Source organism: Homo sapiens, chromosome 4 (assembly GCF_000001405.40).
Source record: "Homo sapiens chromosome 4, GRCh38.p14 Primary Assembly".
Taxonomy (NCBI): Eukaryota; Metazoa; Chordata; class Mammalia; order Primates; family Hominidae; genus Homo; species Homo sapiens.
In genome coordinates this window covers 95,562,704-95,590,048 of record NC_000004.12, presented here as the reverse complement: position 1 = coordinate 95,590,048, position 27,345 = coordinate 95,562,704, and the positions used below count along the sequence as shown (strand labels likewise).

At 36.9% G+C, this 27,345-nt stretch overlaps 1 long non-coding RNA gene across 1 annotated transcript in view, besides 1 other annotated feature; it reads right to left on the bottom strand.

Annotated features, from left to right (window-relative positions):
- Positions 1 to 2,320: 2,320 nt before the first annotated feature.
- The window catches only part of UNC5C-AS1 (UNC5C antisense RNA 1), a 38,581-nt gene continuing 13,556 nt past the window's right edge, over positions 2,321 to 27,345 (bottom strand). The window contains exon 5 of the long non-coding RNA NR_183914.1: positions 2,321 to 3,786. This is a non-coding gene — a long non-coding RNA (UNC5C antisense RNA 1). The remainder of the gene's footprint in view (positions 3,787 to 27,345) is intronic.
- Positions 3,937 to 5,136: an enhancer, noted in NCBI's record as "BRD4-independent group 4 enhancer chr4:96506064-96507263 (GRCh37/hg19 assembly coordinates)". NCBI's record gives its function as "activates an origin of replication core promoter dependent on BRD2, P300/CBP, MED14 and CDK7 cofactors, and independent of BRD4, by STARR-seq in HCT116 cells {active_cell/tissue: HCT116}" and the evidence as "EXISTENCE:reporter gene assay evidence [ECO:0000049][PMID:35650434]".

Here is a 27,345-nt window from a genome sequence, read left to right as displayed (position 1 = left end):
TTCACAAACCATTTAAAAAACTAAAACTGACTGAGAAGAAGTCACATGCCTAAGTTGGGATGTGCTGATTCTTAGTCCATGCTTTCTACCTGCATAATTAGATGTACTTCTGGATGTTTACAATAAAAAGATGATGATCAAAAGAATAAGTGATCTTTACCATAATATACTTCCATTGCTAAAAATATACAATTACTATTGCACATCTAATTTCCAGACAAGATCTCAAAGCACTTAAGTGCAAATATTTTTTAATAAATTAGTCTGGTTTTCATATAGGCACATAGATAATGTTGTCGTTATAACTAAAGTTCTCTTTATATGAAATATACCTCACCAAGGGAATGTACATCTGTTTTCTGAAAAAGAAATTCAAATTGAGAACCTTGTCAGTATTAATTAGGATAATAATACAAACCACACTAGTTTAGTTATTTTCACTCATCTAATAAGCTCTTCAATAAAGATCTAAAAATGTATTTAAAACACATAAAACAAAATCATGTCTAATTATGAAGGGTAGTTGCTATTTTAATCTGCTTGCAGTTTTCAAACCAGATATAATGTTTTAGATGTTGTATCTGATATACTGAAGTCCAGTTACTATAGGATAATTAAGTTGGTTGTTAATTGTGGGATGTAACTGAAACAGAATCCATTATAAACTATAATATCTATTATTAAATGACAATTATTCCTATAAATGTTATCATTGGCTTAATAAATCAATATAGGTGATTTGAGAAACTATTAAGAAATGTCTAATTTTAAAATGTATTAAATTGTACCTTGTCTTATTGGATCTTCTAATAACAGATAAAATAGTACTTGTATGAATTTTTAAAACACACTGATGTGGACAAACACAGAAATACTGAATCTGCATGGCAAAAATACATGTCATAATGTATCATACACACAGCTAACATTTATTTTACAATCAACATTTTTTTTTACTGAGTACCTGATATGTAAAGTAGTATTATGCAATCTCTAAGAAATTTAGGTTAGAATCTGTTTTACTTGTGTTGTATAATTTTAAATAATAATGTTTAATAATATACATATACTACTTTTTAAATATATAAACACTATGTATAATATATGCATGTTTTCATATGTGTATATAATTTTAAACTGGAACACACTTAGATAATTATATGTATTCATTTTTCTATAAGCAGAGTAGTCATTAGTTTTTCAATAGATTAAATATTGAATGTAATTAAATTCCGATTCAGATTCACAGCAGGCTCTTTACACATAGCAAGTCTATGTGCTAGAACAACAATTATTAGTGAGTACAATAAATAAGTCTCATCTCATAAAATTCAAGAAAAAAATATCATCTGGACAGTAACCTAAAAACTAGACCAGGTAATCACCTGAGGTTCCATTTATTTACATTAATCTTCATTTCTGCATTGTAATTTTCATTTGTTGAATAAATTTCCTCTTACTGCAGATGAGAAGCATTCTACAAATATACCAGAACTAGTCCAGCATTTTTCAAACCTCTATTTTGATGTCACCTAAACACATTTTGAAAGCCCTTCACAAAATATTTAGTTGTTTAATTTTTCATAAAATTCTAGTCATTGCAAATTATATAATTTTTTAACATGTTGTAATTATTGACTTTTAAAATAAAAATTTTATGTCATTTAAAATGTAGCCAGTGGTGTCTACATACCATGGCAATTTTATACTTGTCATTATTCATATAAAAATACATTAATACATCTTTTCAACTGTCCAGAAATGTAATGTCATGACTCTTCTACTTGAACTTATATATCTATTTCACTTACACCGACAATTTTATTAAAATTTAATGAATTATTAGGTTTTAGTCTTTTATTGTTCCCCCATCGTACTTCTCTGCTTTATAATATGTATGTAAATTTAAATTTAATTTTTGAAAAAGTTTATCTGACTATAAGGTGCTGAAGTGCTAAAAATTTCTTTTGATAAAGACATAATTGCAATAATTAGTTGTAAAAATGAGTAAAACAACATAAATATATTACGTTTTTAATAAATTTTATACATAAAGAGCAAAATTTTATTGGAAACTCATTTCTTAATGAGATGGAAGCAGTTCTATTCCCCTGATTAATTTATATATCTGAGGATGAAGATTACTTATTGCCAGACAAAATAGTGGTTCACTATCAATTCTATTCTATTTGATCCACTACCAAATACCGAATCAATTAGATACTCCTCCAAGTTTGTTGAAAGCAAAAAATTCGAAATCATGACGTGCAAATGGATTTGGTATTGTTATTAGACTTATGTACTTCCTCAAAGCAAACACTCACGTTTGTAATTGTCATTTTATTTAATACTGAGAGTAGGGTTTCTACACTATAAGACAATTCAACAATGGTTGCAACACAAGATAGAAGAAAAGGATGCCCCTTTTTTGTGAAGTGTAAGAGAAGGGCAATCGTAGAAGGAAGTGGGAAAAGAAATCAGGCTTAATTTCTCAGTCATGCTTTTTCAGGCTGATACATATTATTTTTAGTACTTATGAAAATTAGAAGACCTCTGATCTATTTCAGCATTCCACTAGCAAAACAATCCATTCTGAAACAACCTTGAGAGGTATTAACAAATATTCCTAGCCCTCCAGGTCCACATTAGCTCAATCCAAGTTTCATTGTCTGAGATGTTCTCATTTTGGAAAAGAGGCAGGGCTGTGGAGGAGGGATTCTTTTGTCCCTCACTAATATCCAAAAATTCCACCCACTTCTTCTGAATTTCCCATTTATCTTAATTGTTCTGGACAGCAGTGAGACTGAGAATAATGATAATATGTACCAAACCATCATGAGACCTCTCTTCCTCTGATGATCTTAACCAAAATCATCATTCTAGAGAACGATATACTTTTAAGGCATGGTGTCATCTCTCCCATCCCCAAACACAGGCACTTACCATTTAGAGTCGGAAGGATCCATTTCTGCAACTACTGAGGATTCAACTTCATTGATTGAATTAACTTTGTTTTACTAGTAACACCGATCATAGTTGTTTTACTTCATTATATAGGTCACATTTTAACATCTTGTCCATACTTATATCAGGGAAAAACTAACCCTCTATGGCATTCCCTTGAGTTAATATAGGCAAACAATTGTCCAGAAAGAAAATGGTATTACATGGATATAAATTTTCTTAAAGACTCTTGCTCCTACTAGTGAAACTTAACTTATATTAAAGCTCACAAATCATCTGACCTAGAGTTTTTCCATGAATTGATATAAGCGTACCAAAATGAAATATTCAGGATTTGCCCATTTCCCTTTTTTGAAAAGTACTTGAACATTTGCCAGTTTTCCAGCCTTAAGTCGTCTCTACTATTTACATTCATTTACCAAATATCAAAATCTTTATATATCTATATGCATATATGCATTATTCTCTGCCCTAGGATTTAATTTGCATTTACATACACACTGCTAATATAAGACATCTAAATTGATTTTAATTTCTCTTAAAATGAGTAACTATTTTACTCTCTGCATTTTGAGAATATTTTCTTGACAGAAAAATAAGGAAGCACCAAGGTGGGAGGACCACTTGAGGCCAGGAGTCTGAGACCAGCTTCAGCAACATAGCAAGACTCCCATCTCTATTTAAAAAAAGACAGCTGGTTTTGGTGGCACACACGTGTAGTCCCAGTTACTCGGGAGGCTGAGGCGGGAGGATTGCTTGAGCCCAGGAATTCAAGGCTACAGTCACACCACTGTACTCCAGGCTAAGAGACACTGCAAGATCCTGGAAAGAAGAAAGAAAAGAAAAGAAGGAAAAAGAAAAAGAAAGAAAAGAAAAGAACAGGAGAGGAGAGGAGAGGGAAGGAAGGAAAAAATAAAAGAAAGAGGAGAGAGGAGAGGAGGAAACAGAAAGATGAGGAAGCAAAATATTAATTTTATTAAATTAATCATAATGTGCTGTTTCTATACTAATTACAATGTTAGAATGCTTTCTGTTTTCATCAATTAGAACAACAATGTATTTATATTTTTGAATGCAGCATTTTAAATATTGGATATCATCTACTTAAGCAGACATGCAAACATAGATGCTTAATGTGTGAACTATTGCATTTCCATAAGCATTTAAATCACTGGTATATATTCTGCTAAATGTATTCCACTGAGGTGGTTATTGTCTGAGGACTTAATTTCCCTTAGGGCAGTTTTTACACTCTAATATTGTCCTTAGCATAAACATATTAGGATTTTTTCATGTGGTAATATTGATATCTGTTCTCAAGACTCAAGCTACAACCTTAAAATTTTTCTCTGAATGAGATCTTTTATATAGTCTTCACAAAATAAATATTACTCATCTCTAATAATTTGTATTAACTAGAAATATCAAATTATTGTCAATATTCTGATATTTAATAATTCCAAATATTTAATAATTCAGGATAGACTAAGAGTGAACTGGAAAATTTCCCAGTCTTAAAAAGTGACAACACATTAACTTAGTCATAACTACTCATAACTTAGTCATAACTAGTCATAACTTAGTCATAACTAGGTGCATAAGAGATGAAATGCCAAAGTTAACACCAGGTCCAGGTAAACTTAAAAAGCAGAAATACACAAACAGGCAGGATAAATTGGAGCACATGAGCCTTCTATTTTCATATGAGTCTCAAATGGATGGATGTCAGGATTGGAATATTTCTAAGTTATTATTCTAATCAAGTCCTGTAGCATTTTTTGAGGACTTTACTCTTACAGGAGCCATAATAGCACCTAGAGATACAAACTTCTTAGCCATAAAAGCTATTCTCCATGTCATCACACTAAAGAAATGAGCACAGATATGCCAATAAATAATGTGCCCAGAGCACGGTGGCTCATGCCTGTAATCCTAGCACTCTGGGAGGCTGAGGGGGGCGAATCACGAGGTCAAGAAATTGAGACCGTCCTGGCCAACATGGTAAAACCCCGTCTCTACTAAAAATACAAAAATTAGCTGGATGTGTTAGGCACACACCTATAGTCTCAGCTACTCAGGAGGCTGAGACAGGAGAATTGCTTGAACCCGGGAGGCGGAGGTTGCAGTGAGCCGAGATCATGCCACTGCACCCTAGCCTAGTGACAGAGCAAGACACCATCTCAAAAAAAAAAAAAAAAAAAGAATTGCTCAGGGAAGGGAGTTATCTTCCTCTCTGGGAGAGGTCGGTGACTATTTCATAGATAACAACTAGGCCACTTTGGTAGATGAATACTCATTTAACAGGGAGACACATAGCTAGTGAATATTAAGTTCTCTTCTGCTCATATGAGATAAAAAGTTGTCATAAGAAGTGACCAGGGCCCACTCCTGCCACCACTGACACATGTGAATGCTGCTGGGAGACCTCAGGACCAGCCCACCCAGTGTACTAGTCTTCAGCAAAGCCTCACCACAGCCTCCACAAACAACCACAGCCTAAGCCACTGAGGAGCTCAAGGACAATACTGATGTTGATCACAGCCAAAGAAATCATATGGAGACCATACTATGGTGCTCACCCCGAACCAAACCAAAGTACACTACCCAGCCAACATTATAGATCCATCAACAGAAAAAAGTATTTTTCTATGAAAATAATTTAATAGGAAAGCTATATCATAAATTTGGAAGAAATTACTGTTAAGCTAGATGCACAAATATTAACTTAAAAACACAGGAAACATAAAAAAGTAAGGAACCTAACACTTTCGAAGGAAAATAATAATTTTCCCATAACATACCCCAAATAAAAGGAAATCTATGAAATGTCTGAACTGAAAAGGAATTCAAAAGAATGACATTAAGGAAACTCAATGAGACACGAGGGAATACAGAACATATAATCAGGAAAACAATTCATGATCTGAATAAGAAATTCAACAAAGGGATATTGTAAGAAACAACTAAACAAAAATAGTGGAACTAAAGAATTCTATAAAATAAAAATACCATCAAGATGTTAACAAGAGACTAGATCAAGCAGGTGAAGTAATTTCAGAACTTGAAGAGAGGTCTTTTGAAATAGCACAATCAGACAAAACAAAAAAAGAATAAAAAAGAATGAAGAACGTCTACATGACATATGGGACACCATCAAGTGAACAAATAATACAATTTTTGGAATTTCAGAAAAGAGATGAGAAAAGGCATTAAAAATCTATTTTATGATAAATCTCCAAACTGCTTTTCACAGTGGTTGAACTAATTTACATTTCCACCAACAGGGTATAAGTGTTCCCTTTTCTCTGCAATCTTACCAATATATGTTATTTTTTATCTTTAATAATGGCCATTTTGACTGCTGTGAAATGGTACCTCACTGGGGTTTTGATTTGCATTTCTCTAATGATTACTGATGTTGAGCATTTTTTTTCACATATTTGTTGGCCACAGCTATGTCTTCTTACGAGAAGGTGTCTTCATATCCTTTGCTCATTTTAATGGGGTTGCTTTTCGCTTGTTGATTTGTTTAAGTTCCTTATAGATTCTGAATATTAAATCTTTGGCAGATGCAGAGTTTGCAAATATTTTCCCCTATTCTCTAGGTTATCTGTTTACTCTATTGATAATTTATTTAGGTCTACCTTGTCAATTTTTGTTTTTGTTGCAATTGCTTTTGGGGACTTAGTCATAGATTCTTTCCCAAGGCTGATACCCCGAATGGTCTTTCCTAGGTTTTCACTAGGATTCTTATAGTTTTAGGTCTTACATTTAAGTTTTAATCTATCTTCAGCTAATTTTCATATAGGATGAAAGGTAGGGGTCCAGTTTCATTCTTCTGCATATGGTGAGCCAGTTATCCTGGAATTTAGGTATACCATTCAAGTCAGCAATCCCATTACTGGGTATATATTGAAAGGAAAATAAAACATTCTACCAAAAAGACACAGGCACTCATATGTTTATTGCAGCAATATGCACAATAGCAAACACATTGTGTCAACCCAGATGCCCATAAATATGAACTAGATAGGGAAAGTATTTGTACATATATGCCATGGAATACTGTGCAGTCATAAAAAATGATGAAATCATGTTATTTTCAGCAACATGGATGCAACTGGAGACCATTAGCCTAAGTGAATTAACACAGGAACAGAAAACCAAATACTAAATGTTTTCACTTGTAAGTGGGAGCTAAACATTGAGTACACAGGGGCATAAAGATGAGAACAATAGACACTAGGACTACTAGAGGGTAGAGGATAGGAATGGAGGCAAGAGTTGAAAAACTATGAGGTACTATGTGCACTACCTGGGTGATGGAATCACTTGTACACCAAACCTTAGCAACATGCAATTTCCCCCATGTAACAAACCTGCACATGTACTCCTGAACCTAAAATAATTTTTTTAAAAAACTAATAAAATAATGAAATAGGGGAAAATTTCTTAATTCTTGGAAGACATATAGACATCAATATTCAAGAAGCTAAAAGTTCCCAAAAGACTCAACCCAAACAGATCCTTTCCAAGGCACATTATAGTCAAACTGTCAAGTCAAAGGAAAAGAGAGAGAATTATATTTTTAAAAAAGCAGGAGAAAAGCATAAAATCACATATAAGGGAATTCCCAACATATTAACAGCAGATTTCTCACCAGAAGCCTTATAGGCCAGGAGAAAATGGGATTATATAGTCACATCAAAAGAAAAAAATGCTACTTAAAAATACTTTACCCAACAAAGTTATCTTTCAGAAACAAAGATGAAATAAAGTATTTCCAAGACAAGCAAAAACCAAGGGAATTCATCACAACTATATTGACCCTATAAGAGATGTTTAGCAGAGACCTACATCTGGAACTAAAGGATAACATCTACCATCATGAGAATATATGAAAGTATAAAACTCATTGGTAGAGCAGATATGCGAGTGAGAAAGAACAAGAAATAAAATATTACTAAAGATAAACAACAGATTGCAAAGATAAACAATAAGAGGCGAAGAAAGGAACAAAGGATATAGAAAACAATCAGAAAACAATTATTAAAAATGGCAAGAGTAAGTCCTCATCTATCAATTAAAAACCTTGAATGTAAATGGTTTAAATTTCCCAATTAAAAGATAAACACTGATACAGCAGATTAAAAATAAAAAAAAAAACAACAACTATACACTGCTTACCAAACCCTTACATCCCTATTAAGTCACACATAGATTGAAAGTAAAGAAATGGAAAAAAAAGATATTCCATGCCAATAGAAATAAAAAATATGCAGGAATACCCGTACTTATATCAGACAAAATAGACTTTACGTCAAAAAACAAGAAAAAAGATTAAGTTTATTATATAATGATAAAGGGGTCAATTCAGCAAGAAGACAAAATACCTTTCAAAGTATTTGCACCTACCAACAAAGAACACAGATATGTAAAGCAAATATTATTGGAGTTAAAGAGAGACATAGACTCTAGTACAATAATAGTTGAGAACTTAAATACCTCACTTTCAGCATAGGACAGATCATTTAGACTTAAATTCAACAAAGAAACAAAAGACTTAAATTGCACTGTAGACCAAATAAACTTCAAAGACATTTATACAATATTTCATCCAACAGCTGTAGAATACATATTCTTCTAATTAGCACATGGAACATTCTCCAGGATAGAACACATATTAGGCCACAACAGGAACTTCAGCAAATATTTTCTTTTTTTTTTTTGAGACAGAGTCTCACTCTGTCCCCCATGCTGGAGTGCAGTGGCACGATCTCGGCTCACTGCAAGCTCCGCCTCCCGGGTTCACACCATTCTCCTGCCTCAGCCTCCCGAGTAGCTGGGACTACAGGTGCCCGCCACCAGACCCGGCTAATTTTTTTGTATTTTTCGTAGAGACAGGGTTCCACCATGTTAGCCAGGATGGTCTCAATCTCCTGACCTCATGATCCACCTGCCTCGGCCTCCCAAAGTGCTGGGATTACAGGCATGAGCCACCACGCCCGGCCAAATTTCAGTAAATATTTTCAAATGGAAATTATATAAAATATCTTCTTAAACAACAATGGAATAAAACTAAAATTCAATAACAGGAGAAACTCTGGAAACTCTACAAATATTAATCCATGGAAATTAAATAGGTGGTCACTTCTAAGACAGCCGAATAGGAATAGCTCCGGTCTGCAGCTCCCAGCAAGATCGACACAGAAGACAGGTGATTTCTGCATTTCCAACTGAGGCACCTGGTTCATATCATTGGGACTGGTTGGACAGTGGGTGCAGCCCACGGAGGGCAAGCTGAAGCAGGGTGGGGTGTTGCCTCACCCACGAAGCACAAGGGGTTGGGGGATTTCCCTTTCCTAGCCAAGGGAAGCTGCGACAGACTGTACCTGGAGAAATGGTACACTCCTGACCAAATACTGAGCATTTCCCACAGTCTTTGCAACCAGCAAACCAGGAGATACCCTCCCGTGCCTGGCTCGGTGGGTCCCACACCCAGGGAGCTTCGCTCACTGCTAGCACAGCAGTCTGAGATCGACCTGTGATGCTACAGCTTGAAGGGGGAAGGGGTGCCTGCCATTGATGGGGCTTGAGTAGCTCACAGTGTAAACAAAGAGGCCAGGAAGCACGAACTGGGCAGAGCCCACTGCAGCTCAGCAAGGCCGCCTGCCTCTATAGATTCCACCTCTGGGGGCAGGTCATAGCAGATTAAAAGGCAGCAGACAGCTTCTGCAGACTTAAACATCCCTGTCTGACAGCTCTGAAGAGAGCAGTGGTTCTCTCAGCATGGCATTCAAGCTCCGAGAACGGACAGACTGCCTCCTAAAGTGAGTCCCTGACCCCTGTGTAGCCTGACTGGGAAACACCTCCCAGTAGGGGCTGACAGACACCTCAAACAGGCGAGTGCCCCTCCGGGATGAAGCTTCCAGAGGAAGGATCAGGCAGCAATATTTGCTGTTCTGCAGCCTCTGCCGGTGATACCTAGGCAAACAGGGCCTGGAGTGGACCTCCAGCAAACTCCAACAGACCTGCAGCTGAAAGGTCTGTTAGAAGGAAAACTAACAAACAGAAAGGAATAGCATCAACATCAACAAAAAGGACATCGACAACAAAACCCCATCTGTAGGTCACCAACATCAAAGACCAAAGGTAGATAAAACCACAAAGATGGGGAGAAACCCGAGAAGAAAAGCTGAAAATTCCAAAAAACAGAGCACCTCTTCTCCCCTATAGGATCACAGCTCCTCGCCAGCAACAGAGTAAAACTGGACAGATGATGAGTTTGACAAGTTGACAGAAGTAGGCTTCAGAAGTTTGGTAATAACAAACTTCTCCGAGCTAAAGGAGTATGTTCTAACCCATTGCAAGGAAGCTAAAAACCTTTCAAAAAGGTTAGATGAATGGCTAACTAGAATAAACAGTATAGAAAAGCTCTTAAATGACCTGATGGAGCTGAAAACCATGGCCCGAAAACTTTGTGATGCATGCACAAGCTTCAATAGCCAATTCGATCAAGTGGAAGAAAGGATACAGTGATTGAAGATCAAATTAATGAAATAAAGTGAGAAGACAAGATTAGATAAAAAAGAGTGAAAAGAAATGAACAAAGCCTCCAAGAAACACGGGACTATGTGAAAAGACCAAATATACATTTGATTTGTGTACCTGAAACTGATGGGGAGAATGGAACCAAGTTAGAAAACACTCTTCAGGATATTATCCAGGAGAACTTCCCTAACCTAGCAAGGCAGGCCAATATTCAAATTCAGGAAACACAGAGAACACCACAAAGATACTCCTTGAGAAGTGCAACCCCAAGACACATAATTGTCAGATTCACCAAGGTTGAAATGAAGGGAAAAAATGTTAAGTGCAGCCAGAGAGAAAGGTGGGTTACCCAGAAAGGGAAGCCCATCAGCCTAATAGTGGATCTCTCGGCAGAAACCCTACAAGCCAGAAGAGAGTGGGGGCTAATATTCAACATACTTAAAGAAAATAATTTTCAACCCAGAATTTCATACCCAGCCAAACTAAGCTTCATAAGTGAAGGAGAAATAAAATCCTTTACAGACAAGCAAAGGCTGAGAGACTTTGTCACCACCAGGCCTGCCTTACAAGAGCTCCTGAAAGAAACACTAAACATGGAAAGGAACAGCTGGTACCAGCCACTGCAAAAACATGCCAAATGGTAAAGACCATTGATGCTATGAAGAAAATGCATCGACTAACAGGCAAAGTAACCAGCTAACATCATAATAACAGGATTAAATTCAAACATAATAATATTACCCTTGAATGTAAATGGGCTAAATGCTCCAATTAAAAGACACACTGGCAAACTGGATAAAGAGTGAAGACCCATTGGTGTGCTGTATTCAGAAGCTCCATCTCAAATGCACAGATGCACATAGGCTCAAAATAAAGGATAGAGGAAGATCTACCAAGCAAATGGAAAGCAAAAAAAAGCAGGTGTTGCAATCCTAGTCTCTGATAAAACAGACTTTAAACCAAAAAGATCAAAAGAGACAAAGAAGGCCACTACATAATGCTAAAGGGATCAATTCACCAAGAAGAGCTAACTATTCTAAATATATATGCACCAATACAGGAGCACCCAGATTCATAAAGCAAGTCCTTAGAGACTACAAAGAGACTTACACTCCCACACAATAACAATGGAAGACTTTAAAACCCTGCTGTCAATGTTAGACAGATCAACAAGACAGAAGGTTAATGAGGATATCCAGGGCTTGAACTCAGCTCTGCACCAAGTGGAACTAATGGACATCTACAGAACTCTACACCCCAAATCAACAGAATATACATTCTTCTCAGCACCACATCACACTTATTCTAAAATTGACCACATAATTGGTAGTAAAACACTCCTCAGCAAATGTAAAAGAACAGAAAACACAACAAACTGTCTCTCAGACCACAGTGCAATCAAATTAGAACTCAGGATTAAGAATCTCACTCAAAACCGCACTACTACACAGAAACTGAACAACCTGCTCCTGAATGACTACTGGGTTCATAACGAAATGAAGGCAGAAATAAAGATGTTCTTTGAAACCAATGAGAACAAAGACACAATATACCAGAATCTCTGGGACACATTCAAAGCAGTGTGTAGAAGGAAATTTATAGCACTAAATGCCCACAAGAGAAAGCAGGAAAAATCTAAAATTGACACCCTAACATCACAATTAAAAGAACTAGAGAAACAAGAGCAAACAAATTCAAAAGCTAGCAGAAGGCAATAAATAACTAAGATCAGAGCAGAACTGAAGGAGATGAGACACAAAAAACTCTTCAAAAAATCAATGAATACAGGAGCTGGTTGTTTGAAAAGATCAACAAAATTGATAGGCCGCTAGCAAGATGAATAAGAAAAGAGAGACACATCAAATAGACGCAATAAAAAATGATCAAGAAGATATCACCACTTATCCCACAGAAATACAAACTAACCATCAGAGAATACTATGCAAATAAACTAGAAATTCTACAAGAAATGGATAAATTCCTGGACACATACACTCTCCCAAGACTAAACCAGGAAGAAGTTCAATCTCTGAATAGACCAATAACAGGTTCTGAAATTGAGGCAATAATTAACAGCCTGCCAACCAAAAAAAGTCCAGGACCAGATGGATTCACAGGCTAATTCCACCAGAGCTACAAAGAGGAGCTGGTACCATTCCTTCTGAAACTATTTCAATCAATAGAAAAAGAGGGAATCCTCCCTAGCCTAATTTTATGAGGCTAGCATCATCCTGATACCAAAGCCTAGTAGAGACACAACAACAAAAAAAGAGAATTTTAGGCTGATATCCCTGATGAACATTGATAAGAAAATCCCCAATAAAACACTGGCAAACTGAATCCAGCAGCACATCAAAAAGCTTATCCATCATGATCAAGTCGGCTTCATCCCTGGGATGCAAGGCTGGTTCAACATAGACAAATCAATAAACATAATCCATCACATAAACAGAACCAAAGACAAAAACCACATAATTATCTGAATAAATGCAGAAAAGGCCTTCAATAAAATTCAACATCCCTTCATGCTAAAAACTCTCAATAAACTAGGTATTGATGGAATGTGTCTCAAAATAATAAGAGCTATTTATGAACAACCTGCAGCCAATACCATTTCTGAATGGGCAAAAACTGGAAGCATTCCCTTTTAAAACCAGCACAACACAAGGATGCCCTCTCTCACCACTCCTATTCAACATAGTGTTGGAAGTTCTGGCTAGGGCAATCAGGCAAGAGAAAGAAATAAAGAGTATTCAATTAGGAAAAGAGGAAGTCAAATTGTCCCTGTTTGCAGATGACATGATTGTATATTTAGAAAACCCCACTGTCCCAGCCCAAAATCTCCTTAAGCTTCTAAGCAAATTCAGCAAAGTCTCAGGATACAAAATCAATGTGCAAAAATCACAAGCATTCCTATACACCAATAATAGAAAAGCAGAGAGCCAAATCATGAGTGAACTCCCATTCACAATTACTAAAACGAGAATAAAATACCTAGGAATCCAACTTACAAGGGATGTGAAGGACCTCTTCAAGGAGAACTACAAACCACTGCTCAACAAAATAAAAGAAGAAACAAACAAAAGGAAGAATATTCCATGTTCATGGATAGGAAGAATCAATATCGAGACAATGGCTATACTGCCCAAGGTAATTTATAGACTCAATGCCATCTCCATCAAGCTACCACTGACTCTCTTCACAGAATTGGAAAAAACGACTTTAAAGTTCATATGGAACCAAAAAAGAACCCACATAGCCAACACAACACTAAGCAAAAAGAACAAAGCTGGAGGCATCATGCTACCTGACTTCAAACTATACTACAAGGCTACAGTACCCAAAACAGCATGGTACTGGTACCAAAACAGAGAACGAGCAATGGAGAAAGGATTGCCTATTTAATAAATGGTGCTGGGAAAACTGGCTACCCAAATGTAGAAAGCTGAAACTAGATCACTTCCTTACACCGTGTACAAAAATTAACTCAAGATGGATTAAAGACTTAAACGTAAGACCTAACACCATAAAAACCCTAGAAGAAAACCTAGGCAATACCATCCAGGACGTAGGCATGGGCAAAGCTTCATGACTAAATCACCAAAGGCAATGGCAACAAAAGCCAGAATAGACAAATGGGATCTAATTAAAGAGCTTCTGCACAGCAAAAAAAAAAAAAACACTATTATCAGAGTAAACAGGTAATCTACAGAATGGAAGAAAATCTTTGCAATCTACCCATCTGACAAAGGGCTAATATCCAGAATCTATGAAGAACTTAAACAAATTTACAAAAAAAAAAACCAACCCCATCAGAAAGTGGGTGAAGGATATGAACAGACACTTCTCAAAAGAAGACATTTATGCAGCCAACAGACACATGAAAAAATGCTCATCACCACTGGTCATCAGAGAAATGCAAATCAAAACCACAATGCGATACCATCTCATGGCAGTTAGAATGGTGATCATTAAAAAGTCAGGAAACAACAGATGCTGGAGAGGATGTGGAGAAATAGGAAGGCTTTTACACTGTTGGTGGGAGTGTAAATTAGTTCAACCATTGTGGAAGACAGTGTTGTGATTCCTCAGGGATCTAGAACTAGAAATACCATTTGACCCAGCAATCCCATTACTGGTTATATACCCAAAAGATTATAAATCATTTTACTATAAAGACACATGCACCCATATGTTTATTGCGGCACTATTCACAATAGCAAAGACTTGGAACAAACCCAAATGACCATCAGTGATAGATTGGATTAAGAAAATGAGGCGCATATACACCATGGAACACTATGCAGCCATAAAAAAGATGAGTTCATGTCATTTGCAGGGACATGGATGAAGCTGGAAACCATCATCCTCAGCAAACTGTCACAAGGACAGAAAACCAAACACTGCGTGTTCTCACTTATAGGTGGGAGTTGAACAATGAGAACACTTGGACACAGGGTGGGGATCATCACACACCAGGGCCTGTCAGGGGTGGGGGCTGGGGGGCTAGGGGAGGGATAGCATTAGGAGAAATACCTAATGTAAATGAAGAGTTGATGGGTGCAGCAACCCAACAGAGTTGATGGGTGCAGCAACCCAACATAGACACATGTATACATATGTAACAAACCTGCACGTTGTGCATACGTACCCTAGAACTTGAAGTATAATAAAAAACAAAATTAAATAACATTCACCTGAACAACCATTGAATCAATGAACAAATTAAGACAAAATTAATCGAAAAATTTTTTGAAACAAATGAAAATTGAAACACAAAATAAAAAAAATCTATGGGATATAGCAAAATCTAAGTGGAAAATTTGTAGCAATAAGTGCCTACCTTTAAAAAGTAGAAAGATTTCAAGTAAGCAATCTGACAATGCACCCCAAGGAACTAGAAAAGCAAGACCCAACCAAACCACAAATTTGTAGAAGGAAAGAAATAATAAAGATCAGAGCAAAACTAAAGCAAAAGAGACGAAAACAATACAAATGATTATTAAGAAAAAGTGAATTTGGTTTTCTGAAATGATACAAAAATCCACAAATTATAAGCTAGATTAAGAACAAAAGAGAGAGGACACAAATAAAATCAGAAACAAAAAGGGAGACAGTGCAACTGATACCACAGACATGCAAAGGATCATTAGAGCCTATTTTGAACAACTATATGCAAGCAAATTAGAAATCATAAAGGAAATGGATAAATTTCTGAATCCATATAAACCACCAAGATTGAACAAGCAAGAAGTAGAAAACCTGAACAGACCAATAGAGGTCACAAGGTTGAAATAGTAATAAAAAGTCCCCCAAAAAAGAAGTGTCCAAGACAAGATGGCTTTCTTCCTGTATTCTACCAAACTTTCAAAGAAGAACAAATATAAATTCTTCTCAAAATATTACAAAAAATTAAAGAGGAAGAAATTCTTCCTAACTCATTCTATAAGACCAGCACTACCCTGATATCAAAACCAGAGAAGGACACAACACAAATTAAAACTACAGGCAATATTCTTATGATTATGATGCAAAAATCCTCAACAAAATACTATCAAACCAAATCCAGCAACATATCAAAAAGATAACACATCATGATCATGTGGCACCTATCCCAGGAATACAAGGATAGTTCAACATATGCAAAAAAAAATCCTGATAAATCACATCAACAGTATGAAGGACAAAAGCCATATGATCATCACAATTGATGCAGAAAAAGTATTTGATAAAATTCAGCATTCTTCATGATAAAAACTCTCAACAAATTAGGTACAGCAGGAATATACCTCAATACAATAAAGGCTATATATGACAGACCCACAGCTAATATCATACTGAATGGGGAAAGCTGAAAGATTTTCCTCTAAGAACTGAAGCAGAGAAAAAAAGGCCACTTTCACCACTCTTATTCAACATAGTATTGGAAACCCTAGTCAAAGGCAAGAGGAAGAAATAAAGGGCATCCAAATTGGAATAAAGGAAGTCAAATAGTGCCTCTTCACGAATAACATGATCTCACATGTAGAAAAACCTGATACTCCACCAAAAAACTCTTAGAACTGATACGTGAATTCAGTAAAGTTTCAGGATACAAAATCACCATATAAAAATCAGTAGCATTTCTATGCATCAATAATGAATTACCTGAAAAAGAAATCAAGAAAGCAGGGTGGAGTGATATGGCAGAACAGAAGACCACATCATTTATAGCCCCTGCAAAAACACCAAATATTGACAACTATCTGCACACAGGAAAGCACCATCACAAGAACCAAAAATCAGGTAAGCAATCCCAGTACCTAGTTTTAAATTCATGTCATTGAAAGAGGCATTGAAGAGGGTCAGAGAGACAGTCTTGAATCAGAGACACCATCCCTCCACCCCCAGCAACGGCCATGTAGCACAGAGAACCTGTACACTTGGGGAAAGGAAAGTGCAGTGACTGGAGGACTTTACATTGAACTCAGTGCTTCCCTGTTATAGCTGAGAGCAAAGACATGCTGGGCTCAGCCAGTGCCCGCTCATGGAGGGAGCATTTGGACCAGACCTAGCCAGAGGGGAATCAGCATCCAATTAGCCAGAACTTGAGTTTCTCAGCAAGCCGCACCACCATGGGCCAAAACCTAGGTAAACTTGAAAGATAACCAAGGACACAAGAACTGCAATTCCTTGGCAACTACTGGGCTGGCTCAGAGCCAGGGAACTAGAATGGCATGTGACCTAGGGAAACATGAGCTAGGGTTGCTAAGGAAGTGCTTTCACCACTCCTCCCCCAACCCCGGTCAGTGTAGCTCACAGCAATGACATTGTCTCCTTCCTTCTGCTGAACGGCAGGAGAGTGAAGAATAAAGAGGACTTTCTTTTGCATCTTGGATACCAGCTCAGCCACAGTAGGAAAGGGCACCATGCAGAGTCCTGAGGTCCCCAATCCAGTCCCTAGCACCCTGCAACCAAAAGGAAACCTGCTTTCTTGAAAAGAAGGACCCAGTCCTTGCAGGATTCATTATCTGCTGACTCAAGAGCCCTGGGGCCCTGAATAACAGGAGTGATATTCAGGTTGTATACCGTGGGTCTTGGGCTCTGAGTCGTGTTGACTACAGGTGTCACTCAGAATATTTCCAGCTGTGGTGGCTATGGTGGAAGACTCCTTCTGTTTCATAAAAGCAGAGAGAAACGTAAAGAGGACATTGTCTTTTACCTTAGGTACCAGCTCAGCCACACTGGGGTAGAGCAACAATCAGGCTCTTGGGGTCTCCAATTCCAGGACTTAGCTCTTGAACAGCATTTCTGGACCAGCGCTGGGCCAGAGGAGAGCCCACTGCCCTGAAGGTGAGTTCCAAGCCTGGCAGAATTTACTGTAAGAGCCTGACTGAAGAGCCCTTGGGCTTTAAGTGAACACTGATGGTGGCCTGGTGGAACCCCCATGTGGGCCAGTGGAGGTGGTGCCTATAGGAAGAGGCTCCCCTGCCTTGAAAAAGAGGAGAGAAAACAGGAAGGATTTTATATTGTGGTCTGAGTGCCAGCTTAGCCACAGTAGAATAGAACATCAGGCAAAATTCTAATGCTTTTGACTCCAAACCCTGGCTCACAGACAGCATTGCTGGACCTGCCTAGGGCCAGGTGGAGCCTGGCACCCTGAAGAGTAGGACACAACATGACTGGCTTTGCCACCTGCTGATTTTAGAGCCCTAGGGCCTTGAGAGAACATAGGTGGTAGCAAGGTAGTGGTTACAGTGGACCTTGGGCAAGACTCAGTGCTATGCTGGCTTCAGGTGTCACCCAACACAGTCCCAGTGTTGGTCACCGCAGGGGTGGTTGTATCACCACACCCCCTGTTCCAGGTGGCTCAGCACAAACAGACCTTTTTTGTTTGGTAGAAAGTAAGGGAAAAGGGAAAAAAGTAAGGGAAAAGTTCTCTGTTTGGTAATCCAGACAACTTTTCTGGATCTTATTCAAAACCACCAAGGCAGTTCCTCTACAAGTCTGCAAAAACCATAGCACTACTGGGCTGGGGGCCCAAGTCCCTTTGAATACCTGGAAGGCCTTCTCAAGAATGGGGGGAAAACACAAGCTCAGACTATGAAGACTACAATTTAAACATAATTATTCAATTCCCAAACACCGACAAATGTCTACAATCATCACAATCATCCAGGAAAACATAACCTCACCAAATGAACTAAATAAAGTACCAGGGACCAATCCTAGAAAAACAGAGACATATGCCCTTTCGGACAGATAATTCAAAATACCTGTTTTAAGGAAACTCAAAGAAATTCAAGCTAAGACAGAGAAAGTATTCAGTATTTTAGCAGATAAACTTAACAAAGGGATTGAAATAATTGAAAAGAATCAAGCAGAAATTCAAGAGTTGAAAAATGCAATTGACATACTGAAAAATGCATCAGAGAAACTTAATAGCAGAATTGATTCAGCAGAGGAAAGAATTAGTGAGCTTGAAGACAGGCTATTCAGAAGATAAAGAAGAAAAAAGAATAAAAACAATAAAGCACACCAATAAGATATAGAAAATAGCCTCAAAAGGGCAAATCGAAGAGCTATTGGCTTTAAACAGGAGACAGAGAAAGAGATAGGGGAGAAAGTTTATTGAAAGATGTAATATCAGAGAACTTCCCAAATCTAGAGAAAGATATCAAGATACAAGTACAAGACGGTTATAAAACACCAAGCAGATTTAACTGAAAGAAGACTATCGCAAGACATTTAATAATCAAACTCCCAAAGTCAAGGATAAAGAAAGGATTCTAAAAGCATCGAGAGCAGAAAACAGATAACATACAAAAGAGCTCCAACACATCTGGCAGCAGACTTCTGAGTTCAAACCTTACAGGCTGGGAGAAAGTGGCCTAAAATATTTTAAATGCTGAAGGAAAAACTTTTATCCTAGAATAGCATATGAAGTGAAAATATCTTTCAAGTGTGAAGGAGAAATAAAGACTTTCCAAGACAAACAAAAGTTGAGGGATTTCATCAACACCAGACCTGTCCTACAAGAAATGCTAAAGGGAGTTCTTCAATCTGAAAGAAAGTATGTTAATGAGCAAGAAGAAATCACCTAAAGGAACAAAACTCACTGTTAATAGTGAGCACACGGAAAAACAGAATACAGAAAAACACCTATAAAAACACAGAATATTATAACACTGTAATTGTGGTGTATAAACTACTCCTATATTAATCAGAAAGACTAAATGATGAGCCAATCAAAAATAATAACTAGGCTGGGTGCAGTGACTCACACCTGTAATCCTAGCACTTTGGGAGGCTGAGGTGGGTGGATTGCTTGAGTCCAGGAGTTAAAGAACAGCCTGGACAAGACAGCAAAACCCTGTCTCTACTAAAAATACAGTAAGTTAGCTGGGTGTCGTGGCTTGTGCCCGTAGTCCCCGCTACTTGAGAGGCTGAGATGAGAGAATCCCCTGAGCCCAGGAGTTAAAGAAAAGCCTGGGCAATATGGCAAATCCCTGTCTCTACTGAAAATACATTTAGCTGGGTGTGGTGGTGTGTGCCTGTAGTCCCAGCTACTTGAGTGGCTGAAATGGAAGAATCACTTGAGCCCAAGAAGTTGAGACTGCAGTGAGCTGTGATTGTGCCAGTGAACTTCAGTTTGAGTGATGAGAGAGAGACCTTGTGTCAAAATAATAATAATGATAATTAGTATCATTATTATTATAGCTACAACAGCTTTTCAAGATATAGTATAATAAGACATAAAGAAAAACAACAAAAAGTTAAAAAGTGGGGTATGAAATTAAAGTGTAGAGTTGCTACTAGTTTTCTGTTTGGATGTTTGTTTGTTTATGCAATAAGTGTAAAGTCATTATCAATTTAAAATAATGGGTTATAAGATAGTATTAGCAAGCCTCACAGTAACATCAAATTGAAAAACATACAATGGATACACCAGCAAATAAAAAGCAAGAAATTAAATCATACCACCAGATAAAATCACCTTCACTAATAGGAAGATGGGAAAGAAAGAAAGAAAAGGCCACAGAACAACCACAAAACAAGTGACAAAATAGCAGGAGTAAGTCCCTGCTTATCAATAATAGCATTGATTATAAACGGACTAAACTCTCCAATCAAAAGATATAGAGTGGCTGAATGGATGAAAAAACAAGACCCATTGATCTGGTCCCAGCAAGAAACACACTTCACTTATAAACACTGAAAATAAAGGGGTGGAAAAAGATATTCCATGTCAATGGAAACCAAAAATGAGCAGTGGTAGTTATACTTACAACAGACAAAAGTAGATTTAAAGACAAAAACCATAAGACAAAGAAAGTCATTATCTAATGAAAAAGGAGTCAATTCAGCACCAGGATATATTGATTTTAAACATATATGCACCCAACACTCGAGCACATAGATACATAAAGCAAATATTATTAGACCTAAAGAACAGGATAGACTTCCATACAATAATAGCTGGAGGCTTCAAAAGCCCACTTTCAGCATTGGACAGACCTCCTGGACAGAATCTCAGCAAACATTGGACTTAATCTGCATTACAGAAGAAATGGACCTAATAAATATTCACACAATATTTCATCCAAAGGCTGAAGAATACACATTCTTCACAGCACATGGTCAGTGTCAAGGACAGACAATATCTTCGGTCACAAAACAAGTCTTAAAACATTAAAAAAAAAAACAGATAAAATCAAACATCTTCTCTGACCACAATGGAATAAAACTAGAAATTAAACGAGGAATTTTGGAAATGATACAAACAAGTGGAAATTAAACAATATGCTCCTAAATGACCAGCAGGTCAATGAAGAAATCAAGAAGGAAATTTTAAAATTTCTCAAAACAATTGATAATGAAAACACAACATAATAAAACTTATGGGATACAGCAAAAGCAGTAGTAAGAGAGAAGTTTATAGTTATAAGTGTGCACATTGATAAAGAAGAAAAATTTCAAATACGTAACCTAACAATGTATCTTAAACAACTAGAAAAACAAGAGCAAACTGAACCCAAAATTGGTAGTAGAAAAGAAATAATAAAGATCATAGTAGAAATACATGAATTTGAAATGAAGAAAACAATACAAAAGATCAATAAAACAAAAAAATTGTTTTTTTTTTTTTGGACAGATAAAATTGACAAACTTTTAGCTGGATTAACAAAGACAAAAAGGGAGAAGACCCAAATAAATACATCCAGAGATGAAAAAGAGACATTACAACTGATATCACAGAAATTCAAAGGATTATTAGTGGCTACTGTAAGCAACTATATGCCAATGAATTGGAAAATCTAGAGGAAGTGCATAAATTCCTAGACATACACACTTACCAAGATTGAACCATGAAGAAATCCAAAACCTAAACAGACCATAAACAAGTAATGAGTGAAAAGTCTCCCAGTAAAAACAAAAAGCCTGAAACCCAATATATTTAAAGAACTAATACCAATTCTACTCTTCTACTCAAACTATTCTGAAAAATAGATGAGGAGGGAATACTTCCAAACTCATTCTACAAGGCCAGTATTATTCTGATACCAAAACCAGACAAAAGCACATCAAAAAAAGAAACCTATAGGCTAGCATCTCTGATGAATATTGATGCAAAATCCTCAACCAAATACTACCAAACCAAATTCAAAAGGATAACTGATCATGGGCAAGTGAGATTTACTCTAGGTATGCAAGGATGGTTCAGCATTCACAAATCAATCAATTTGATATATCAACAGAATGAAGCACAGAAATCATGTGATTATTTCAACTGATGCTGAAAAAGCATTTAATAAAATTCAACATCCCTTCATAATAAAAACAATAAAAAAAACTGGGAATAAAAGGAACATACCGCAGCATAATAAAAGCCACGTGTGACAGACTCACCGAATGGGGGAAAAACTATAAGCCTTTCCTCTAAGATCTGGAACATGACAAGATGCCAACTTTCACCAGGCTTATTCAGCGTAGTACTGGAAGTCCTAGCTAAAGCAGTCAGACAAGAGGAAAAAAAATAAAGTGCATCCACATTGGAAAGGAAGAAGTCAAATTTTCATTGTGTGTGTATGATATAATCTTACATTTGAAAAAAATCTAAAGACTCCACAAAAAACTACTAGAACTGCAGTATACAAGATCAACATACAAAAATCAGTAGCATTTCTATATGCCAGCAGCGAACAATCTAAAAAAGAAATCAGAAAAGGAATCCCACTTACAATAGCCATAAATAAAACTAAATACCTAGGAATTAATTTCACCAAAGAAGTGAAAGATCTCTACATAAAAATTATAAAACACTCATGCAAGAAATTGAACAGGACACACAAAAAAAGGAAATGTATTCCAAGTCTGTTGATTGGAACAATCAATATCGTTAAAATGTCCATGCTACTCAAAGCAATCTACAGATTCAATGCAATCCCTATCAAAATACCATAATATTCTTCAAGAAACAGAAAAAAATTCTAAAATTTATATGAAATCAAAAAAGACCCAGAAGAGCCAAAGGTATATTGAGCAAAAAGAACAATACTGGTGGAATCACATTGCCTGACTTCAAGTTATACTACAGAGCTCTAGAAAACAAAACAGCATGATACTGTCATAAAAACAGACACATAGACCAATGAAACAGAATAGAGAATCGAGAAGCAAATCTGCATACCAACAGCAAACTCGTCAACAAAGGTGCCCAAAACATGTATTATCAATAAGTAGGAACTTACTCCTACCATTTTGTTATTAGTTTTCTGGTTGTTTCGGGGTCTTCTCTTTTCTTCCTTCCTGTCTTCCTCTTAGTGAAAGCGATTTACTTGGTGCTATGATTTAATTTCTTGCTTTTTATTTTTTGCATATCCCTTGTATTGTAATTTGAGGTTACTATGAGGCTTGCAAATACTATCTTGTTGCCCATTACTTTAAATTGATGATGACTTTACGCTTATTGCATAAACAAACAAACATGTAAAAGAAAACTAATAGCAACTTATGCTTTAACTTCATGACATTGGTTTAAGAAATGATTTTTATATGACCCTAAAACACAGGCAACAAAGCAAACATAGAGAAATAGGAACATATAAAACTAAAAAGCTCCTGCACAGAAAAAGAAACAATCAAGAGTGAAGAGAGAACATGTAAAAAGAAATAAAATATTGCAAATTCATTATCAAACAAGCAACAAGTTCCTTGTGAATACACAAGGAACTCAAACCACTCAGCAGCAAAAATTAATCCAATTGAAAAATAGGCAAAGATTCTAAACAGACATTTTTCAAAAGAAGACATAAATGATCAAGTATATGAAAAAAATGCTTAACATCATTAATCATAAGAGAAATACAAATCAAAACCACAGTGAGATATCATCTCATCTCAGTTAGCATATCTATCATCAAAAACACAAAAAATAACAAATGCTGGTAAGGATGCCATGGAAAGGGAACTCTCATACACTGTTGATGGGAATGTAAGTTAGTATAGCCATTTTGAAAAACAGTATGCAGGTTTCTCAAAAAAACTAAAAATAGAACTATTGTACAATTCAGCAATCCCAATACTGAGTATTTATCTAAGGGATGAAAAATAGGAATACCAAAGAGATACCAGGACTTCCATGTTTATTGTAGCTTTATTGAATAAAGTTCAATTTTTAGTTCTATTTTTAGTTCTTAGTTTTAGTTTAACCAAGACATGGCCTCAACCTAAATGTCCATTGCAGGCGAATGGACAAAGAAAATGAATATATGCACAATGGAATACTATTCAGCTATGAAAAATGAAATCCTATCATTTGGGGTGACATTAATTACCTGGAGGACATTATGTTAAGTCAGGTAGAAAAAAGGCAAATTATTCTCCCTTATGTGTAGGAGTGTGTTAGGGCATTCTTGCATTGCTGTAAAGAAATACCTGAGACTGGGTAACTTATAAGGAAGAGGTGTAACTGGTTCATGGTTCTGCAGGCTGTACAAGCATGGCACCAACATTTGGTTGGCTTCTGATAGGGGGCTCAGGAAGCTTACAATCATGGTGGAAGGTGAAGGGGGAGCAGGCATATCACGTGACAAAAGCAAGAACAAGACTGGGTGGTTGTGGGGAGGTGTAACAATTTACAACAACCAGATCTGGTGAGAACTCACTCATTATTGCAAGGACAGCATCAAGCCATGACCCAAACACCTCCCACCAGGCCTCACCTCCAACATGGGGGATTACAATTCAACATGAGATTTGGTCAGAGACAAACATCCAAATTATATCAGGGAGTTTATAAAAATTTTTCTTATAGAGGTCGAGAGTGGAATTGTGGTTATTAGAGGCTGGGAAGGGTTGCGGGGAGGAAAGTTTAGGGAGATGTTAATAAAGTTACAGCTAGACTGGAAGAATACTAGTGTTCTGCAGCACTGAAGGGTGACTATGGTTAACAATAATTTAGTGTATATTTTCAAAAAGCTAGAAGGGAGAATTGTAAAAGTTTACAACACAAGGAAATGGTAAATGTTTGAGATGATGGATATGCTAATTATCCTAATTTGATCATTACCTATTGTATACATGTATTAAAAGATCACTGTATCCCATACATATGCACAATTATCATATGTTAACTAAAAATAGAAGGAAAAATAATAAACGTGGATAAACGTTAAAAAAAAGAAGGAAATTATCTAGGGCTGGGATAAACAGATAATCCAAAGAAGGTAAATGAGATCATACATGGCTTCCATCCCCACGTTCTGGCCATTGACTATGGAAGGCATAGTTTTGCAACTGGAGGTTTGTAGAGATTTATAGAGTAAGAAGTTGGATGCACTTTTCTGCAACTGACTTTGAAGGGAAAGAGATGCCCTGTGTGCCCCCCATGCATGCCGGGAGAAAATATGACATCAAAGGAGACCATCAGAGACCCAGGCGGGCATGAAGCCAAATGAGGTATCTACAAAGTCAAAGCAGCAAATCTACCCCAGAAGGGGTGAAATTCTATAATTTTGAAACATGACTATTTATATCCTCTTTGTATTCTGTTTTGTACCTCTTTCTAATATAATACGGCCACTTTTGAAAATGTATTATCTCAACTGTTTTGAGGGAAACAGGCTGCTGTCCACACTTGAGTAAGAATGGGAGAGGGTACGGATAGCCTTACAAAGAAAAACCTTCAAGAGGAAGTGAACCCTAACAATACACGGGGGCTGCAGTGGGGAATAGAAAGTTTAGGATGGAGTAGGTGTTCAGAAATGTCCTCAAAACATTTTGCCCTATGCCTTTCAATGAGAGTGCCCCTGTAGAGGACTGATTAAACTTGATATATTGACCCTTCTGTGAGGTAAACAGAATCAGAAAGGAGCTGGCTTTACGATGCTCACCAGGAGAGCCTACTGTTTCAAAGGCCTACACAGACAGGCCCAGCAAGTGGATGGCGAGAAATACAACACTGATTCCAACACAGAAATGCTTGCTCTCTGCTCTGTTCAAAAAGGGAAGCAAGGACTTATATGTTTATGCAATCATTTATTCCTTTAATCATTTTATAAATATTCACTGGCCACCTCCTAAACTTTGTGTTTTGTGCCAATGGCCAGAGAAAGGCAGAGCTGCTCTGATGTGGTGCAGGGAAAGCTCAAGTCTTGCAGGGAGTTCAGAGACTCCCACTGCTTGCAGGAGAGGAAGCCACTGCAGCTCTGGGTTAGTTCAGCATTCAGACATGCAGAATTCTGCAAGGCCTGTAGGTGTATGACCCACCATATGCTAACCTTCAGACAAACCAGGGCAGACAGGAAACTGCTCTATCACTCAAAATGTTATTAACAGGTTTGGAAAAGATTTCTTCAGCCACTGAAGCCTGAGTATGAACATGAATGGTAAATATATATAGTAAAATTAGAAAAAAACAGAAGTAATTTTGCACGAGAGAAAAGATTAAACTAAAGGGAAGATTGCAAGGTGAGGTGGCATAAAAGAAAAAAATTGGACTTGGTAGGAAAATCCTATTTTGCACTTACTATATACCATGAATGATATTAGGTCATTTTATATCCATTTGTAGGGTGATACTTCAAAACAACTCTATTTATTCCAATTTTATCATTCCCTATTTAAAGATAGGTAAACCAAAGTTTATTTAGTTGGTTTAAGTAACTTGCAGAAAATCATACAGCTAGTAAAGATCAGAAGTGAAACTGATATCACATATATTCTATTCCAGAGTTTTTCCAATATGAGCAGAAATCAGAAGAGATCATCATCTGGTGTTGAATCTGTCTCTATCTTTCTTTGGACAAGTAAATTTGGCTTTTGGGGCCTCAGTTTCCTTATCTATAAAATTGTGTTCCCTTGGGTCTCATCTTAATTATGATTGAAAAATTGATCATGCTTTGGTTCTTTACAGAACATAGGTGGAGAGAAAAAGGGCAAATGTAGAAAAGGCTGAAGTCGTGGGAAGAATGGGCGGTAGAAGGATACAGAGTAAGAGGTTAAAAGGTTAGAAGAGGATTGGGAATTATAAGTTGCAAGGAGGGTAAAATTTTAAGTGTATACTCTGTGTAGGGGTGTGTGTGTGTGTGTGAGTAAGGGTGTGTGTGTGTGTCACGTACGTTAGTATCACTTGGAAATGCTGGAAAACTAATGACAGACAAGTACTGGTCTGAACCCCAGAAGAAAGAACTGGTTCACACACATACACACACACACTCCACATCTCCCACATAGCAATTACTAATCTTGAAAATCTGGGCAGGTTGCCTCACAAGGAAAACATAAAATGCAGAGGCTACTGTTAGCCAAGTGGCATTTGATCTGGTAGCCAGGCATGCATTCAGGGAT